We start from the raw sequence: 21,086 nt of genomic DNA, 5'->3' as shown, positions 1-21,086 counted from the left end.
GCTCACTGCAACCTCTGCCTCCTTGGTTCAAGCAGTTCTCCTGCCTCACCCTCCTGAGTAGCTGGGTAGGCACACTCCACCACGCCCGGCTGATTTTTGTATTTTTAGTAGAGATGGGGTTTTGTCGTGTTGGCCAGGCTGGTCTCGAACTCCTGACCGCAAGAGATCTGCCCACCTCGGCCTCCCACGGCCTCGCTGGGATTACAGGCATGAGCCACTGTGCCTGGCCTAAATTTTAAATATAAGTAATGTACTCCCCAGTCTTACAGAAATTGGACGACTATAGAAAACAAACATCAAAAAAAGTGTAGAATGTGAGTATTTTTAGTTTAATAAGTGTATTTTATAAACTATTTATTTGTATTGACTTCTCGGATAACAACCTGTTATAAAATCTTTATCCCCATAAACATAATTTTCCTAAAATAGCTATAATATTGTGATTAATGTTTATGCTAAAGTGACTATTATGGAATTAACAGACTTCAGTTGCAGTTTCTAAATCTTGCTTTGGTTGTGATGATTATATACCACTGAAGAACATTCAGGATTATTTTGGCTTGTTTTTACCCTTATCACTCAAGGGCTAAGCTGTTTAAAATGCAACATAAACATTTGACCCAGTTGAATGCTGGGATACTTGGAAAAATAAACCTGTTACTGTTTCTGTACTAAAGGCTTATCTTTTAAAGATATGTGGTGTTTTTTTAGCGCAGTGGTGCGATCTTGGCTCACTGCGACCTCTGCCTCCTGGGTTTAAGCATTCTCCTGCCTCAGCCTCCTGAGTAGCTGGGACTACAGGCGCCTGCCACCACGCCTAGCCAACTTTTATGTTTTTAGTAGAGACGGGATTTCACCATATTAGCCAGGCTGGTCTTGAACTCCTGACCTTGTGATCTACCCGCCTTGGCCTTGCAAAGTGCTGGGATTACAGGCGTGAGCCACTGTGCCTGGCTGATATGTGGTGTTTTGTGATTATAAATTGTAGTGGAGTTCCTTAGTTTTGTTAAAGTCTTGTCAGTAGTTGTAAAAACATCAGCCAGTTGTGGTGGCTCAGGCCTGTAAGCCCAGCACTTTGGGAGGCCGAGGCTGGTGAATTGCTAGAGCTCAGGAGTTTGAGACCAGCCTGGGCAACATGGTGAAAACCTGTCCCTACAAAAAATACACACACACAAAAAGAAAAAAATCAGCAGGGTATGGTGTAGTATGCCTGTAGTCCCAGCTGCTTGGGAGGCTGAGGTGAAAGGCTCACCTGAGCCCAGGGAGATTGAGGCTGCAGTGAGCCATGTTCATGCCACTGTACTCCAGTGTTGGTGATGGAGTGAGACCCTGTCTCAAAAAAAAAAAGTGTGCCTTCAATAGAAGGCTTGAACGTATTTTATGGGATTTGGTTTAGCTGAAAAAAACAGTGAGAAGCAGATTAAGCTGGTAATTTCTGACAAAAAGTATCTAAAAGATGAAGTGAAGAATGTTAAACATCAAGTATTATATTACAGTTGCTCTTAGACTAGTAGCTTTTAGTTTATAACATGTCATTTGTTTGCTCTGAAGATTAAGCAAGTTCATACTTCTTGGAAGTTAAATTTGACTTTTCCAGAAGCACTGGATTATTTACGAAATAAAAAATATAATTGATAACTTTAAACTACTATTTCAGGTAGTCTATTACTAGTAAATGTATGATTCTACATTTAAATTTCAGGTAAATCTTTGTTAGTAACCTACTGCCTAAAAAAATGTTACATGAGGGAGTACTTTTGTTTGCATGTTAGGATCATAATAGGCCATACATAATAATCTTGAGCTTGGGAGGAGCTTGTTAGCCAAACAGCATGCCTTAATGTTGACTTGCAGAAGACAATTTTAAATATTGCCTTTGAAAGGCAGTGGATAATGTGACAGTGAGGGGGTTTATGAAACCATAAAATTGAGCTTTTTGACTTAGTTTTTGTTTTTAAGTTGTTCAGATCTTGGGAGTCATTTCTTCAAAACAAATGACTATGAGGTGGAAAATTACTTACCTTGAATAAATTAATTGGAAAATCAGAGAACACTGGGTTTATTTAGGATGAGGTTGTTTGGTATGTGTATGGGAGGGTAGAATTCCTAATTGCTCATCTGACTGGGTTCAAAATGTAATACTAGATATTTGTGTTGCAATTCAGTTGGTACTTTTGGTATAGGGCTAACTTATCTTGCGTGTAATTTTTTTTTTTTTTTTTTGAGATGAAATCTGGTGCTGTTGCCCAGGCTGGAGTGCAGTGGTGTGATCTTGGCTCACTACAACCTCCGTCTCCCAGGTTCAAGGGATTCTCATGCCTCAGCCTCCCGAGTAGCTGGGATTACAGGCGCCGGCCACCTTGCCTGGCTAATTTTTGTATTTTTAGTAGAGACGAGGTTTCACCATGTTGGCCAGGCTGGTCTTGAACTCCTGACCTCAAGTGATCCACCTGCCTCGGCTTCCCAAAGTGCTGGCATTACAGGCTCGCTCAGGCATCTTGCCTTGTAATTCTCATGATAGTAATGGCTATTTTTTTCTTGCCTTAGAGTTGTAAGTAAAAATTCCTTAATTACACATTAAGGTTTGATCTTTAATTTTACAATGTTTGAGTCATTTTGTTACTTCTTTTCTCCCAGAATGACTTGCGTAGCTCTAAATGATTTTAGTTAATTTCACATCTGTTTGCCTTTCTTCTAAAATGACCCCTAGAATCTCAGCTTAACTAAGGAAAATGTCAAGTGGGTGTTGTTTCTTTGTTAGTGGTTTTGGCCTAGACTATCTAAAGTTTGGCAAATTACTCACAAAGTATGTTAATTGGCATCACATTCCAATCAGTGTACATAGCATTTTTTGAGGAACACTTGACACACGGTTTTATTTTTAGACCAGATTCTAAGGGGTTTTACTGGGTGGGGCTTAACAATCCTAAAGCTAGTTTACGGTTTTAAAATCTTTATGATTTAGAGGTTGTTTACATTTTTTGTTAATAAATGGGAAGCAGCAGGCAGTGGCAGTCAATTTTGTTTGTTTCTTTTTTTGTTTTTTTTGAGACGGAGTTTCGTTCTTGTTGCCCAGGCTGGAGTGCAGTGGCATGATCTTTCCTCACCACAGCCTCTGCCTCCTGGGTTCAAGCGATTCTCCTGCCTCAGCCTCCTGAGTAGCTGGGATTACAGGCATGCGCCACCACACCTGGCTAATTTTGTATTTTTAGTAGAGACAGGGTTTCACTGTGTTGGTCATGCTGGTCTTGAACTCCCTAACTCAGGTGATCTGCCTGCCTCAGCCTCCCAAAGTGCTGGGATTACAGGCGTGAGCCACCACGCCCAGCCCTCACATAACTTTTATGATATTATGTTCTTATAATTGTTCCATTATTAATTATAATTAATCTCTCACTGTGCCTAATTTATATGTTAAACTTGATCATGGGTATGTATGTACAGGAAAAAACATAGTGTATACAGTATAGTATACTGTTCTTGCTTTCAGGCATTCATTGGTAGTCTTGGAACATATTCCAAGTGGATATGGAAGCACTACTATGTGATGGAATGTTACTCAGTAATAAAAAGAAAGGATGTACTGGTGTATACTACAACATTGGAAACATATTAAGTAAAAGAAACCATGCAGGAAAGACCACATATTGAATTATTCCATTTATATGTAATGTCCAGAATAGGAAAATCCTTAGTGACAGAAAGTAGATCAGGGGCTGAGGGATGTAGGGAATGGTCAGTGACTGTGATAGGGTTTTTTTTTGTTTTGTTTTGTTTTGTTTTGTTTTTTTTTTGGGTGATAAAAGTGTTCTACAATTATGGAGATGGATCCACAACTGTGAATATAATAAAAGCCATTTTATTGTGTACTTTTTTTTTTTTGAGATGTTTTGCTCTTGTTGCCCAGGCTGGAGTGCAGTGGTGCACAATCTCAGCTCACCGCAACCTCTGCCTTGGGTTCAAGCGATTCTCCTGCCTCAGCCTCCTGAGTAGCTGGGGTTACAGGCATGCACCACCATGCCCGACTAATTTTGTATTTTTAGTAGAGATGGGGTTTCTCCATGATAGTGAGACTGGTCTCGAACTCCCGACCTCAGGTAATCTGCCCACCTCGGCCTCCCAAAGTGCTGGGATTTACAGGTGTGAGCCACTGCGCCTGGCCCCTGCCTGGAAATTCTTAAGAATTAAATATTATTTTCTTTGAGTAAGTAATAATGTCAGATGTCACAAAATTTAAAGGATATAGAAAGTTATGTTGTGCATAGTTATTCTACGTTCTCCTTTGTTCTCTAGCTACCCAGCTTCCTTTCACAGAGGGAAATGTGAATTCTTATGTATCCTATTTTGTGACGACACAAAAATATTTAAGGGTAGATGTGCTGGCCTTACTTTCTTGCTCAAATCTTCCAGGCTCTCCCTGGCTACCAGACTAAGTATATACAATTCTTGCTTCTGTGTCTTGCTCACATGGCTTTCTCATAGTAATAGTATGTTTAGTGGAAATCAAAAGCCAGTATTTTTAGGCCCCTGTAGGTGCAGGCCAGTGCACTTGGTGCAGCATAAGGCAAGTTCCTACCTTCAAGGACCTTATCTAATTGAGAGAGGCTGACATTTCCTTACTTTTATCTATTCCTCTTTTTTTTTTTTTTCCCCGAGATGGAGTTTCACTCTTATCACAAAGGCTGGCGTACAGTGGCGTGATGTTGGTTCACTGCAACCTCTGTCTCCCGGGTTCAAGTGATTCTCCTGTCTCAGCTTCCCAAGTAGCAGGGATTACAGGCATCTGCCACCACGCCCGGCTAAATTTTGTATTTTTAGTAGAGATGGGGTTTCATGATGTTGGCCAGACTGGTCTTGAACTCCTGACTGCAGATGATCCACCTGTCTCAGCCTCCCAGAATGCTGGGATTACAGGTGTGAGCCACCGCAGTGGCCAAGTTGAATTTCTTGTATAGATGTCTTATGTCTCAGTTTAAAAATGAGGCATGTCTTACTCTTGCCTATATATTTCCAGTGGGGCATGTCTTATCCTTTTTTATATATCTCCAGTTCTCAAAACCTTGTCTTACACAGCAAACATTAATCAGAGGTTAATCACTTATGGATTTAGTTTCACTCTACTGCCATCTCTCCAAAATGCTTACAGTAAAGAGGCTACACTTACTAAATTCAAACTTAGAACTTTGTAACTTAGGACCTGTCTGTTGGAGGAGGTAAGTTGCTTAAGCTTCTCCCTCTATTGGGCATTATATGTAGAGTGCTCTAGGTTCTGCCTGCTAGCTCCTTGATGACATTTGCCTGCTTTAGCAGGACACTGACTCTTCAGCTCAAGCAGCTGTTACCATGCTGGCTATTTCCTTTTGCATTCATAGGTTTTAGATATGGAAGAAAGTTATACCCAGAGAGAATGGGGGGATAAATGATAATCTTCTACCATTTTTGACCTTAGTCTGGTCCAGCATTATAGTGTGATTTTGAGAGGAGAGATTGTGATTTCCCTGGCTAGTATTATCTAGTATTGCCTGACAATGCAAAATGGACCCCTAGGCTGTCTTATGTAAGTTGGAAGGGGGCGGATTGGGGGTGGGGTGTGTGTGTGTGTATCTACAATCCAGTGACATTTAACAACATTCACAATGTCTTAAAACCATCGCCACTACTCGTTTCCAGAACCTTTTTGTTACCTCAAACAGAAACAGTACTCATTAAGCAAGAACTCCTCATTCCTCCCTATGCCCAGTTCCTCGTAACCCCTATTCTACTTTCTCTCTATGAATTTGCCTATTCCAGGTACCTCATGTAAGGGGAGTCATACACTATCTGGCCTTTTTTGTCTGGCTTATTTTACTTAGCACATTTTTGAGGTTTATCCATGTGGTGGTGGCATGTATCTGTATTTTATTCCTTTTTATGGCTGAATAATATTTCATTGTATGAATATATCATTTTGTTTATCTCCTCATCAGTGATGGACACTTGGATTATTTCCACCTTTTGGTTGTTGTAAATAATGCTGCAGTGAACATTGGTGTACAAATATCTGTTGGAGCCCCTGCTTTCAGTGCCTTAGGGTAATGCACAGGAGTAGAATTACTGGATCATATGGTAATTCTGTGTTTACTTTTTGAGGAACTGCCAAACTGTTTTGCACAGTGACTGCACCATTTTACATTTCCCACCAGCAAAGCACAAGGGTTCCAGTTTTGCCACATCTTTTCCAACACTTGTTATTTTTTCTTTTTTAATTTTTAAAGTAACAATCTTGGGCTGGGCACGGTGGCTCATGCCTGTAATCCCAGCACTTTGGGAGGCCGAGGCGGGCGGATCACCTGAGGTCAGGAGTTCGAGACCAGCCTGGCCAACATGGTGAAACCCCGTCTCTACTAAAAGTACAAAAAAAATTCGCTGGGCTTGTTGGCGCATGCCTGTAATCCCAGCTACTTGGGAGGTTGAGGCAGGAGAATCGCTTGAACTCGGGAGGCAGAGGTTGCAGTGAGCTGAGATTGCGCCATTGCACTCCACAAGAGTGAGACTTCGTCTCAAAAAATAAATAAATAAAATAACAACCCTAATGACTGTGAAGTGGTTGTAGGCTTTTTGCATTTTAAAAAATTATTATTTTTACTATTTTAGAGATGGCGGGGGGGGGGTCTCACTATGTTTACCAGGTTGGTCTCGAACTCCTGGCCTCCATTGATCCTCCCATTTTAGCCTCCTAAAGTACTGGGATTACAGGCTTGAGCCACTGCGCCCAGCCCTCCTTTTCTTCTTATTGCTACTTAGATGTAATGGGCAAACCAGAACCTTTGAATTTGGCTATATTTGGATCTGATGGGTTTTTTCCTCCCTCTTAAACTTGTGTATAATGTTGTTCAAAGGGATACATTATGTACACAATTAATGACATCTTTTTAAAAAGAACACTTTCTTTCATCCTTGTGAGGTGTAAGAAGAAAAATAAGCAAAAAAAAAAATGAATAAAGTTTTTCTATAAGTTGATACACACAGTTGTAGTTACTTTATACTCATACCCTTTTTTTGTGTTGTGAGTGACACAGTCTCACTCCATTGCCCAGGCTGGAGTGCAGTGGTGCGATCTCCACTCACCGTAGCCTTGACCTCCCAGGCACAAGCCATCTTCCCTCCTGAACCTGCTGAGTAGCTGGGACTACAGGTGTGTGCCACCACACTCAGCTAATTTTTGTATTTTTTGTAGAGATGGGGTTTTGCCATGTTGCCCAGGCTGATGTCGAAGTGCTGAGCTCAAGTGATTCTCCCGCCTTGGCCTCCCAAAATGCTGGGATTATAGGCATGAGCCACTGTGCCTGGCCTCTCATACTTTTTTATTCTATAATGTATTTAGGGCCAGCCTCTGTGGCTCATGCCTATAATCCCAGCACTTTGGGAGGCCAAGGAGGGAGGATTGCTTGAGGCCAGGAGTTCAAAACCAGCCTGGGCATCATAGTGAGACCCCATCTCTAAAACCAAAAAAACTAGTCAGGCATGTGGTATGCGCCTGTAGTCCCAGCTACTTGGTAGGCTGAGGAGAGAGGATTGTTTGAGTCCAGGAATTGGAGGCTGCAATAAGCTATGATTGTGCCATGGTGCTCTAGCCTGGGCAACAGAACAAGATGCTGTCTCTTGAAAAAAAAAAAAAAGAAAAAGAAAAGATGAATAGTCTGTCTGAAATGGCCGGCAGTCGCAGCTGCTGACCTGACCTGCATCTACTGTATAAGTCAAGTAGTTCAACTTTTTATTATAATGTCATGGCTTTTCTTTGCTTCTTGGGAGCGCTTCCAGCATCACTAGTGGTACTTCATATGGGACCCATGCTGTTATTCAAAGTTTATGGTATTGTACTGTACATGATGAAAAATACAGAAGACCCATGAGAGATGACTTTTTTTTTTTTGAGACATAGTCTTGCTCTGTCGCCCAGGCTGGAGTGCAATGGCATGATCTCAGCTCTCCTCTGCCTCCTGGGTTCAAGTGATTCTCCTGCCTCAGCCTCCCTAGTAGCTGGGATTGCAGGCACTCGCTACCACAACCGGCTAATGTTTATATTTTTAGTAGAGACAGGGTTTCATCATGTTGGCCAGGCTGGTCTCGAACTCCTGACCTCAAGTAATCCACCAGCTCGGCCTCCCAAAGTGCTAAGATGACAGGAATGAGCCAATGTGCCCAGCCAAGAGATATCACTTTTTACTGCAATAGGAAATGTACTGGAGAGACCAACTGCTCAGAGGGACACAAGGCCTTTTAAGTGGACACATGCAACTTGTAACACTTGAGTTCACTGCAATAGAAAGAAGAGGTGGCTATGAAATTACTGTAGTAATATAGTTTGTACAACAGGTTTGTTTTCTTTTGAGGCAAAGTCTCACTCTGTCACCCAGGCTGGAGTGCAGTAGCAAGATCTCAGCTCACTGCAACCTCTGCCTCTCAGGTTCAAGCGATTCTCCTGCCTCAGTCTCCCAAGTAGCTAGGATTACAGGCCTGTGCCACTATGCCCAGCTAATTTTTGTATTTTTAGTAGAGATGGGGTTTCACCCTGTTGCCCAGGGTGGTCTCAAACTCCTGGCCTCAAGCGATCTACCCGCATCATCCTCCCAAAGTGCTGGGCTTATAGGCATGAGCTACCGCACCCAGCCAACATCATTTAATTTTATGCAGTTATTTATTTATTTAATTAAAAAAATTTTTTTTTTTTGAGATGGAGTCTCACTGTCTTGCCCAGGCTGGAGTGCAGTGGCTTAATCTTGGCTCACTGTACTCACTGCAACCTCTGTCTCCCAGGTTCAAGTGATTCTCCTGCCTCAGTCTCCTGAGTAGCTGTATAACACCTGGCTAATTTTTTGTATTTTTAGTAGAGACAGGGTTTCACCATGTTGGACAGGCTGGTCTCAACCTCCTGACCTCAAGTGATCCACCCGCCTCTGCCTCCCCAAGTGCTGGGATTACAGATGTGAGCCACTGCACCTGGCTTCAGTTATTTAATATGCTGCAGTTATTTAATATACTGCATCTTAACATTTGTTTACATTTCTCTCAAGTGTGAATGTGTGTCTGTGCAAATGGTGTTATGTATGGTCTGTAAGTATATGCATAAGTTTTGATTTTTTTTTTCTTTGAGACCGAGTCTAGCTTTGTCGCCCAGGCTGGAGTGCAGTGGTGCGAACTTGGCTCACTGCAGCCCCTGCCTCCTGGGTTCAAGTGATTCTCTTGCCTCAGCCTCCCGAGTAGCTGGGATTACAGGCACCGGCCACCATGCCCAGTTAATTTTTGTATTTTTAGTAGAGACGGGGCTTCACTGTGTTGGCCAGGCTGGTCTCAAACTCCTGACCTTATGATCCGCCCATCTCGGCCTCCCAAAGTTCTGGGATTACAGGTGTGAGTCACTACGCCTGGCCTATTTTTATTTATTATTGTTTTTTTGAGATGGAGTCTTGCTCTGTCTCCCAGGTTGGAGTGCAGTGGCATGATGTTGGCTTACTGCAGACTCTGCCTCCTGGGTTCAAGCGATTCTCCTGCCTCAGCCTCCCGAGTAGCTGGGATTACAGGTACTCATCACCCTGCCCAGCTAATTTTTTATATCATTTATTTATTTATTTATTTATTTATTTATTTATTTATTTATTTTAGAGATGGAGTTTCGCTCTTGTTGCCCAGGCTAGAGTGCAGTGGCGCGATCTCGGCTCACCACAACCTCCACCTCCTGGGTTCAAGCAGTTCTCCTGACTCAGCCTCCCGAGTAGCTGAGACCACAGGCATGCGCCACCACACCTGGCTAATTTTGTATTTTTAGTAGAGACGGGTTTTCACCATGTTGGCCAGGCTGGTCTCAACCTCCTGACCTCAAGTGATTTGCCCGCCTTGGCCTCCCAAAATGCTGAGATTACAGGCATGAGCCATCGTGCCCAGCTCATATTTTTAATTTGTTTCCCTCCCTCTTTGAACATGTATTCTGTGATCAATTCGTGTATCTTTTTTTTTTTTTGAGACCAAGTCTCGCTCTATTGCCCAGGCTAGGGTGCAGTGGTGCGATCTCGGCTCACGGCAACCGATCTCAGCTCACTGCAACCCCCGCCTCCCGGGTTCCAGCGATTCTCGTGCCTCAGCCTCCCGAGTAGCTGGGACTATGGGCATGAGCCACCACGCCTGGCTAATTTTTTTTGTATTAGTAGAGACAGTGTTTCACCATGTTGGCCAGGCTGGTCTCGAACTCTGGACCTCAGGTGATCCACCCTCCTCGGCCTCCCAAAGTGCTGGGATTACTGGCATGAGCCACCACACCCAGCCCAATTTGTGTATCTTAAAAAATTATTGGGAAAAGAAATTATTGCAAAAAATCTATATATATTGGTATGAGATTATAAGCATGTAGGGAAACACTGAAGAATAATTGGTTATTGGGAGAAGGAAAGGAAAGATAAAACAAAGAAGGGGTTAAAAGATCCCCTCTAATACATGTAATGTTTAAGTGCTATAGAAAAAAAGCAGGGTAAACATTTTAGAAGTAAAAAGGCTTGCTATTTATAATGAGTGCCTTTGTAAAGACATTAATTGTGAATATTTAAAATAAAAGGAAACAAAGTTATGTAATAAGAAAGGCTGTATCCTTCATCAGGCTCATTTCTTTACCTGCTTGTCTGTGCTTATTCCCTGGGCACACTTTAGCTTTTGTTTTACCTCTGCGTTAGTCTGTTGAAATATTGCCCCTTTAAGCTCAAATACACAATGAAATATCCTTGTCTACCTCTTCTTCCACTCAAGCTAGAAGTGACCTTACCACATTTCAGATTCTTATAGTATGTTTCTTAAGAATCCTCCCTACCTTTAATTTCATATTTTGTTGTAGGCCTACTTGTCTTCCTGAAAGCTCTTAGCCCAGTGCCTAGCACATATTCAATTTTTGTTAAACGGTGGTGGTTTTTACTTCTACTTTAAGGGGTTCTGAAATGCAAGGACCATGTCTCCCTGAACTTTATATTCCTCAAAGCAGCTAACAGTTGAAAGTAGATTCTTAGAAATTGTTGAATGAATGGTGCTCTTTATTCTTTTTTTCCTTTCATTCCATGCTGGGTTACAGTCTATAGAGAGGCATTCTGGTTCTTTAGATTTATGTGATAGTGATTCGGTATTCATGAAAAAGGGTTAGGAAAATATTGTAATTGTTAACTTTTCTCCATTGATATTCAGCAGATATTTGAGTACCTAATTTTGTGCAATGTCCTATACTGGATGATGGATTATAACAAGATTATAGGAAATACATGTAGTTCTTCAATGCTTTGGTATATAATTATGTAGGTTATATTTTCTTTTTTGAGATGGGGTTTCATTTTGTCACCCAGGCTAGAGTGCAGTGATGCAGTCACGGCTCACTCCAGCCTCGACCTCCTGGGCTCAGACAATCCTTCTATCTTAGCCTCCTGAGTAGCTGGGACTGTAGGCATGACTACCATGCCTGATTAAATTTTTTTTTTTTTTTTTTTTTTTTTTTTTGAGATGGAGTCTCGCACTGTCTCCCGGGCTGGAGTGCAATGGCGTGATCTTGGCTCAATGCGACCTCCGCCTCCTGGGTTCATGCAGTTCTCCTGCCTCAGCCTCCCGAGTAGCTGGGATTACAGGCGCCCATCACCACACCTGGCTAATTTTTTGTATTTTTAGTAGAGATGGGGTTTCACTATGTTGGCCAGACTGGTCGCGAACTCCTGACCTGGTGATCTGCCTGCCTCGGCCTCCCAAAGTGCTGGGATTACAGGCATGAGCCACTGTGCCTGGCTGCCCAGCTAATTAAAAACAATTTTTTTGTAGAGTTGATGTTCCCCCTCAGTTGCCCAGGCTGATCTGGAATTCCTGGGCTCAAGCACTCCTCCCACCTCGGCCTCCCAAAGTGTTGAGATTACAGGTGTGAGCCTGACCCTAGGTTATATTTTTGTGTTTCATTTACTATTTTATCCTCTGGCAAAATAGCAGGGTATAATTTAGAGCTTTAATGAATTAATGGTGTAACTAACAGTGAAAACTGTGTGTGTGTGTGTGTGTGTGTGTGTGTGTGACAGTCTCTGGCCCCCATGCTGGAGTGCAGTGGCACGATCATAGCTCACTGCAGCCTCAAACTCCTGTGCTCAAGTGATCCTCCCGCCTCAGCCTCCTTAGTAGCTGAGACTAGAGGCATGTGTCACCATGCCCAGCTAATTTTGTTTTATTTTTATAAAGATGAGGTGTCACTCTGTTGACCAGGGTGGTCTTGAACTCCTTGGCTCAAGCCATTCTACTGCTTTGATTTCCCAAATTACTGAGATTACAGGCATGAACCACCATGCCTGGCCAGGGAAAAATTTTAAACATGTCTTTCTTTTGAGAAAATTATTATTGAAAAGTTGGTTAAAAGTAATTTCTGAAGAACAAATGATATTATCAGTTTTACAGGTGTCTTACTGTAACTCTTAGAAGTTGTTAAAGTTTACTATTGAGCGCACCACTAAAGACTAGGGAATTTTTCTTTTTCTTTTCTTTCTTTCTTTTTTTCTGAGACTGAGTTTTGCTCTTGTTACCCAGGCTGGAGTGCAATGGCGTGATCTTGGCTCACTGCAACCTCTGCCTCCTGTGTTCCAGCAATTCTCCTGCCTCAGCCTCCCAAGTAGCTGGCATTACAGGCATGTGCCACCACGCCTGGGTAATTTTGTATTTTTAGTAGAGACTGGGTTTCTCCATGTTGGTCAGGCTGGTCTTGAACTCCCGACCTCAGGTGATCCGCCCACGTCGGCCTCCTAAAGTGCTGGGATTACAGGCGTGAGCCACCGCATCCGGCCGATGGGAATTTTTCTATTTGAAAGCCATTGACTCCAGAAGGAAGTGTAGGGGAGCTGGCTGAATCAGATGGTTACTTTTTTTTTTTTGAAGCAGAATCTCACTCTGTCACTCAGGCTGGAGGACAGTGGTGCGATCTCGGCTCACAGCCACCTCTGCTTCCTGGGTTCACATGATTCTCGTGCCTCAGCCATCTGAGTAGGGAATACAGGTGTGCACCACCACATCCGGCTAATATAGATGGTTACTTCTTGAAACTGCTTTGGTAAGATGTAAACTTGGGGGAATACCTCTTCTCTTGAGGACACATCTCCTCTGCCAAATGAGTGATGCCAGTGTGTAGAATGAATGATTCACTTATATTCTGTGTCCTTATCTTTGAGGAGGGCTAATTTTTTTTAACCACTTGTTGAATATGCAAGATTTACTGTGAAAATTAATGCCTTTAGTATGAAAGAGAAATTAGTGTGGAAATTGTTAGTGTTTCCAGGTGATTTTTTTCCCCCTTCCTTCCTACTTCATTATGTAGCTTTTTTTTTTTTTTTTTTAACTTCGCTGTTACTTGGCTATCTGAATAATCATTCCTAAACCATATTTTATTTGTACATTGTGTGTTTTGGTACTTGTGTTAATGGTGTACTTTGAATACACATCTGTTTATTTTAAAAATCAGCAGTTGCTGACTAGATGAAGAAAACAATGACTGATTTGAAGGTGAAAAGAAAAACTCGGGTTAAAAAAGAGTCCAGACAATGTGATTTAAAATGAAAATAATTTAAGCTTATTTGTGGTGAGAGTTAAAAATAAAGTTGGCTCCAGGTATCATTTGTGGAACTGATTTGTTTTAGCATAATTGTTTTTGAACTAGCTCGTTTTTAACTTGTATTTTTAAAGTTACACTTTTAAAATGTAGGAGTCTGTTTTGTAAACTTGTACAGCCCCTGCTAACTTTTAGAAGAGTAGAGTGGCTTATTTCTTCATGTGTGTTTATTCTGGGCTGTCATCTGATGAAGTTACCAGTTTGTGGTCAGAAATTGAGAAAGAGGAGTGAGGAAACGAAAAATATTGACACGTACACATCACCTTGCAGTGCATGAGAGTGCCCTTTTGGACTGGTTAGGAAACTAACATTTGAGCATATTTGCTCAGCAGAAACTTTTTATGTGTGAAAGTTATTTTTTTTCCAGTGTTGTGACCACTTAAAATTTATTTATTTGTTTTGTTTGTTTGTTTGTTTGTTTGAGACAGGGTCTCACTCTGTTGCCCAGGCTGGAATGCAGTGGCACAATCATGGCTCACTGCAACCTGGACCTCCCTGGGCTCAGGTGATCCTCCCACTTCAGCCTCTTGAATAGCTGGGACTACACATGTGCTACACCGTGCATGGCTGATTTTTTGTAGAGATGGGGTTTCTCCATGTTGTCCAGGCTGGTCTCAAGCTTCTAGGCTCAAGCAGTCTGCTTGCCTCAACCTCTCAAAGTGCTGAGATTACAGGGGTGAGCCACCATGCCTGGCCTGAATTTCTTTTTTTTTTTTTTTGAGATGGAGTCTCGCTCTGTCGCCCAGGCTGGAGTGCAGTGGCGCGATCTCAGCTCACTGCAGCCTTCGCCTCCTGGGTTCCCGCCATTCTCCTGCCTCAGCCTTCCGAGTAGCTGGGACTGCAGGTGCCCGCCACCACACCAGGCTAATTTTTTGTATTTTTAGTAGAGACGGGGTTTCACCATGTTAGCCAGGATGGTCTCGATCTCCTGACCTCGTGATCTGCCCGCCTCGGCCTCCCAAAGTGCTGGGATTACAGGCGTGAGCCACCACGCCTGGCCGGTAATGAAGATTTTAATAATGACTTTAAAAACCAGGCACAGTGGCTCACTCCTGTAATCCTAGCACTTTGGGAGGCCAAGGTGGGTGGATCATTTGAGGTCAGGAGTTTGAGACCAGCCTGGCCAACACATTGAAACCCTTTCTCTACTAAAATCACAAAAATTAGGCTGGGCGTGGTGGCTCACACCTGTAATCCCAGCGTTTTGGGAGGCTGAGGCAGGTGGCTCCTGAGGTCAGGAGTTTGAGACAAGTCTGGCCAACATAGTAAAACCCGTCTCTACTAAATATACAAAAAATTAGCCGGGTGTGGTGGTGTGTGCCTATAATCCCAGCTACTCGGGAGGCTGAGGCAGGAGAATCATGTGAACCCGGGAGGTGGAGGTTGCAATGAGCCGATATTGTGCCATTGCACTCCGGCCTGGCAATAGTGTGAGACTCTGTCTCAAAAAAAAAAAAAAGACAAATACAAAAATTAGCAGGGCGTTGGTGGTGCGCACCTGTAGTCCCAGCCACTCAGGAGGATGAGGTAGGAGAATTACTTGAACCTGGAGGCAGAGGTTGCAGTGAGCTGAGATCGTGCCACTGCACTCCAGCGTGGGTGACAGAGGAAGACTCCACCTCAAAAAAAAGACTTAAAAGAAACCGGTAATATCGTTATTATATTTCTGCCTGTCTTAATTCTTTATCCATTTGCTGTAGATTATAATGTTAGCTGCATGAATGAAAGATTATATTTTTCCAGCTACTCAGGAGGCTGAGGTGGGAGGATTGCTTGAGCCCAGGAGTTTGAGGCTACAGTGAGCTATGATGAAGCTACTGCACTTCCAGCCTAGGTGACAAAGGGAGACTCCGTCTCTAAAAAACAAAGATTAGATTTTTGATACACCATCTATTAGTATATTATTTAATGAGTAAAAAGAAAGGATAAGTTATAAAAAAGCATTAAGAATATGACTGCTCTAATGAATTTAAGCTAAATCCTTTGTTGTTTAGAAGTGAAGTAAAAATCTCTTAAATATGAAGAAAAATTTTAATTGCTTGTGATATATAAGACATGGTATATACAGTCTTTTTCTTTCCTCCACACAGAGGTCTGATGCATTATTTACAAACAATATTTATTTAAAAGTAATGTAATAAGCCAGGCACAGTGGCTCATGCCTTGTAATCCCAGCTCTTTGGGAGGCTGAGCTGAGACGCTGCTTGAGGCCAGGAGTTCGAGACTAGCCTGGGCAACATAGTGAGACACCCCCCTCACCCCACCCCACCTCTACAAAAAAAAGATTAAATAAATACAGTACAGTACAATAATTAGGAACTCTTCTAGATAGCTCTTAAACTTCCAGCCTGGGTTTTTCTGAGTTCAGTGCCTAAAACTCTTAACCACTACATTACTGTATTCCAAAAATTAAGTCCTAGGTTTCAAAGTACAGATCAACTGTGAAAAACAAACAAAAATTTTAAAGGTAATAGTAACATCATTAAACAATAAAAATTTCAAATCCCATTGTACCATTCAAATCAGTGTATTATAATGGAAAGAGATGTAAAGTCTGAGTATCTGAATTTTTAATTTTGCTTCTCTTAAATTGTCACTAAACCTTTTGAATTTTACTTTTTTTCTTCATCAAAAAAAGGGATAGTATGAATAATACCTGCTTTAGCCTGCTTAATTCTAACAGTTCTGTGAGATAATGGAAAGATGAGCTGAATAAATTGTAAAGCTGTGTTAAATTCTGAGTTCTCTTGACTAAGTAAACTTTTTTGAGTCGGAACTACACAAAAAGCATTGCTGGGTTCTCAGAAGTTAGGTTTTAGGTAGATCTAAGAATCTCTTAAAACCTTAATACCAAAAGGCTGGCTACCTTAGATATTTTTGTCCTGCCACCTTATTTTTTTTTTTTTTTTTTTTTTTTGAGACTGAGTCTCGCTCTGTCACCAGGCTGGAGTGCAGTGATGCGCTCTTGGCTCACTGCAACCTCCAACTCTCTGGTTCAAGCAGTTCTTCTGCCTCAGCCTCCCGAGTAGCTGGGATTACAGGCACGTGCCACCATGCCCAGCTAATATTTTGTATCTTTAGTAGAGACGAGGTTTCATCATGTTGGCCAGGATGGTCTGGCTCTCTTGACCTTGTGATCCACCCATCTCTGCCTCCCAAAGTGCTGGGATTATAGCCATGAGCCACCACGCCTGGCCGCCTTAATATTTTTGAGTGAAATATAGTATTTGAGGAAAAACTCAAAAATGAGGTTTTTCAAAGTGCCTGATTATAATGATTGATTTGCTAAGGCGTTTTTGAAGAAAACTTAAAAATGTCCATGCCTGAAGTATTTACATTGTTTATTGCATGTGGGTGTTTCCCTACTCAGAAAGGGCAATAGGAAGATTTGACTGCTAGCCCTTGCTAAGCAAAAGGATAGAGCCAAGGGATAGGGCAAAACAAAGTCATCCTTAACCCTAAGTTTGTCCAGCTGCTTCTTGACTCTCTTTTGGACAGAAGTTTTAGGACTTGTAGTTCTTGTACACTTAACTCCTGAGAAGCTTGCTGCATTAGTCAGAATTGTGATAATTCTTACCACTGTCCAAAGGAATCTAATCTCATTTTTTGGGAGAGTAGTTGGCGGCAGTACAATCCATGAGAAAACTTAAGTGGGTGTTCTAGTTTGGCTTACTTCTCTAGACGTTGATAAAATAACATTTTCACTGAAACATTTATGCCTCAGATTTAGCTTTAATGTGACAGATGTACCTTAAAATATTAGGATTCAAATCACTTAAAATGATACCCTAAGTACAGGTAGTAAGTTTTTAATAATTGTAGTCTCTCCAGATTTGACTTGTCCCGAAGCTACTTCATTGTACTTTGTATGTGTGCTGCTCCCTAATAATCTTGCACCTTGAACATAGTTGTGCTTTCTTATTTTTTACAGGATATGATAAACTGAAAAAAACCAGCAAAACCTTTCCAGGGTTTTTGAAAGTTTGTTGTCTAATTTATAGTTTATTAATCTGGTACTACTTAACTTATTTTTAGAAATTCTCTGAATGCAACAATTCACCGAAGTTATTTCTAGAGGTGGACCACAGGGTGAGAAGGCTGAAATGACTGTTGAGTTGAAAATGCCTTTATCACAACCCTATATTCTTCTGGATTATGAGCATCAGAATAAATTATACAAGATTCCTATGTAAGATCACTTCTCAGCAATTTATTAGGAATTGCACAAGGAGGTAAACTGGATTTCTTTTTTGTTTTTATTTTTATTTTTTTTTTTTTGAGACAGAGTTTTGCTCTTGTTGCCCAGGCTGGAGTGCAGTGGTGCGATTTTGGCTCACTGCAACCTCTGCCTTCCGGGTTCAAGCGATTCTCCTGCCTCAGCATCCCTAGTAGCTGGGATTACAGGCGCCTGCCACCACGCCTAATTTTGTATTTTTAGTAGAGATGGGGTTTCACTATGTTGGCCAGGCTGGTTTTGAACTACTGACCTCAGGTGATCCACCCACCCCAGCCTCTCAAAGTGCTGGGATTACAGGTGTGAGCCACTGCACCCGGCTTCTTTTTAATTTTTAAACAAGTCACTTTTTGGCAAATATAGTATGGCCCCTATAGTTACTCTTTTCTTACTTTGATCCTTAACATGTTTGCATACCCAAGAGTGTTGTGCCTGCTATATAATCTGTTTCTTAGCCTGATGGTGCTTTGTGTAGATTGAGATATGAGGATTATGGGATTAGTGCTCAGAACTCTGCAAGCTCTCTGGAAATACAGTACACCTTTTTGCCTTAGCCAGCAGAATGTTTGTGAGTTCTGTGCTGAAGCCTGGGGGTTGAGTGGTAGATATTGTGCTTTTATCTGACATTTGATTTGTTGCCTGAGGACAGAGATGCAGTGTTATGGGTGGGAGTTGTGTCTTGCCTTACCAGTGTTTAGACTTTTTAAAAGATAATGGATCTTACTTCTTGAAAGAATAGGAGATGAAAACCAATGTCCTCCTGCTTCTGTTCTTCTCTTTCTTCATAGCTTTCCACTTGGCATATAGCAGAAAACTCTTTGGCTATATTTGGTGCATTTTGTTGGTGGAATTCCTCAAGAATGCATTCTTGACTTTTTTCTTTTTTTTTTTTCTGAGACAGAGTCTTGCTGTATCACCCAGGCTGGAGTACAGTGACGTGATCATGGCTCTCTGCAGCCTCAACCTCCCTGTTAAGGCATCCTCTCCCCTCAGCCTCCCACCCCCTGGCCCTGCCCCAATAGCTGGGACTACAGGCCCATGCCACCATACGCAGCTATTTTGTGTGTGTGTGTGTGTGTGTGTGTGTGTGTGTGTGTGTGTGTGTGTGTAGAGATGGTGTCTCCCTGTGTTGTCTGGACTGTCTATAAAACTTGACATTCAACAGTCTCTTGTTTTTATTCATTGAGAAACTGGCTTCATCCTTTTACTGAAATGGGAGAAGTGTTATTTATCTTACTGTTTTTTTAATTAATTAATTTTTTTTTTCCTGAGATGGAGTCTCGCTCTGTTGCCCAGGCTGGAGTGCTGTGGCGCGATCTCAGCTCACTGCAAGCTCTGCCTCCTGGGTTCACTCCATTCTCCTCCTGCCTCAGCCTCCCGACTAGCTGGGATTACAAGCGCCTGCCACTACGCCTGGCTAGTTGTTGTGTTTTTTTGGTTTGTTTGTTTGTTTTTGTTTTTTTGTTTTTTGGGGTTTTTTTTTTTTGTATTTTTAGTAGAAATGGGGTTTCACCGTGTTAGCCAGGATGGTCTCGATCTCTTGACCTCATGATCCACCCGCTTCAGCCTCTCAAAGTGCTGGGATTTACAGGCATGAGCCACTGCGCCCAGCCTAAATTAATTGATTTTTTTGAGACAGAGTTTTGCTCTTGTTGCCCAGGCTGGAGTGCAATGGCACGATCTGGGCTCACTGCAACCACTGCCTCCTGGGTTCAAGCAATTCTTCTGCCTCAGCGTCCCGAGAAGCTGAAATTACAGGTGCCTGCCACTATGCCCAGCTAATTTTTTTGTGTTTTTAGTAGAGACAGGGTTTCACCATGTTGGCCCAGCTGGTCTCGAACTCCTGACCTCAGATGATCCACCTGCCTCAGGCTGGGATTACAGGCGTGAGCCACCACACTGGGTTCCTATGGGACTATTTTAAGTTAACATCCAGGAATCTAAACTACAACTAGCATTACGTAGTTACACTTAAGAAAGCATTTTTGGGGCCGGGTACGGTGGTTCACATGTGTAATCCCAGCACTTTGGGAGGCCAAAGCAGGTAGCTCACTTGAGCTCAGGAGTTCAAGACCAACTTGTGCAACATGGTGAAACCCTGTCTCTATGAAAAAAGCAAAAATTAGCCGGATATGGTGGCACATGCCTGTGGTCCCAACTGCTTGGGAGGCTGAGGTGGGAGGATCCCTTGAACCTGGGAGGCAGAGGTTGTAATGAGCTGAGATCGCGGCACTACACTTTAGCCTGGGTGACAGAGCGAGACCCTGTTTCAAAAAAAAAAAAAAAAAAACCAAAAAACATTTTTTTTTGGGGGGGACATGTCCACCAAATATTTGGAAATTGTTATATTTCCTGTAAGTGGAACTATTTTTTCTCCATATCTGAAATCTTTCTGTACATTCTTTTTTTTTTAATACTTTAAGTTCTAGAGTACATGTGCACAATGTGCAGGTTTGTTACATATGTATACATGTGCCATGTTGGTGTGCTGCACCAGTTAACTAGTTAACTCATTGTTCACTTTAGGTGTATCTCCTAATGCTATCCCTCCTCCCTCCCCCCACCCCATGACAGGCCCCGGTGTGTGATGTTCCCCACCCTGTGTCCAAGTGTTCTCATTGTTCAATTCCCACCTATGTGTGAGAATATGCGGCGTTTGGTTTTCTGTCCTTGCAATAGTTTGCTCAGAATGATGGTTTCCAGGTTTATCCATGTCCCTACAAAGGACACGAACTCATCCTTTTTTATGGCTGCATAGTATTCCGTGGTGTATATGTGCCACATTTTCTTAATCCAGTCTGTCATTGATGGACATTTGGGTTGGTTCCAGGTCTTTGCTATTGTGAATAGTACCACAATAAACATATGTGTGCATGTGTCTTTATAGCAGCATGATTTATAAGCCTTTGGATATATGCCCAGTAATGAGATGGCTGGGTCAAATGGTATTTCTAGTTCTAGATCCTTGAGGAATCGCCACACTGACTTCCACAATGGTTGAACTAGTTTACAGTCCCACCAACAGTGTAAAAGTGTTCTATTTCTCCACATCCTCTCCAGCACCTGTTGTTTCCTGACTTTTTAATGATCGTCATTCTAACTGGTGTGAGATGGTATGTCATTGTGGTTTTGATTTGCATTTCTCTGATGGCCAGTGATGAGCATTTTTTCATGTGTCTGTTGTCTGCATGAATGTCTTTTGAGAAGTGTCTGTTC

At 42.2% G+C, this 21,086-nt stretch overlaps 1 protein-coding gene across 14 annotated transcripts in view, besides 3 other annotated features; it reads left to right on the top strand.

The window, feature by feature from the left end:
• RAF1 (Raf-1 proto-oncogene, serine/threonine kinase) overlaps window positions 1-21,086 on the top strand; it is an 80,517-nt gene that overhangs the window by 2,467 nt on the left and 56,964 nt on the right. The window lies entirely within an intron of this gene.
• Window positions 4,482-5,125: an enhancer, noted in NCBI's record as "H3K27ac-H3K4me1 hESC enhancer chr3:12698025-12698668 (GRCh37/hg19 assembly coordinates)". NCBI's record gives its function as "activates a minimal SCP1, AML or CMV promoter by ChIP-STARR-seq in primed H9 embryonic stem cells {active_cell/tissue: H9 hESC(primed)}" and the evidence as "EXISTENCE:reporter gene assay evidence [ECO:0000049][PMID:30033119]".
• Window positions 12,874-12,923: an enhancer, noted in NCBI's record as "active region_19447". NCBI's record gives its function as "activates an Ori minimal core promoter by ATAC-STARR-seq in GM12878 lymphoblastoid cells {active_cell/tissue: GM12878}" and the evidence as "EXISTENCE:reporter gene assay evidence [ECO:0000049][PMID:35858748]".
• Window positions 18,356-18,566: a silencer, noted in NCBI's record as "fragment chr3:12684584-12684794 (GRCh37/hg19 assembly coordinates)". NCBI's record gives its function as "represses an EF-1alpha promoter that drives an FKBP-Casp9 reporter gene in an ReSE screen in K562 erythroleukemia cells {active_cell/tissue: K562}" and the evidence as "EXISTENCE:reporter gene assay evidence [ECO:0000049][PMID:32094911]".

Source organism: Homo sapiens, chromosome 3 (genome assembly GCF_000001405.40).
Source record: "Homo sapiens chromosome 3, GRCh38.p14 Primary Assembly".
Classification (NCBI taxonomy): domain Eukaryota; kingdom Metazoa; phylum Chordata; class Mammalia; order Primates; family Hominidae; genus Homo; species Homo sapiens.
Note: the sequence above shows the minus strand (reverse complement) of the source record. Positions and strands in the feature narration are given on the sequence as shown.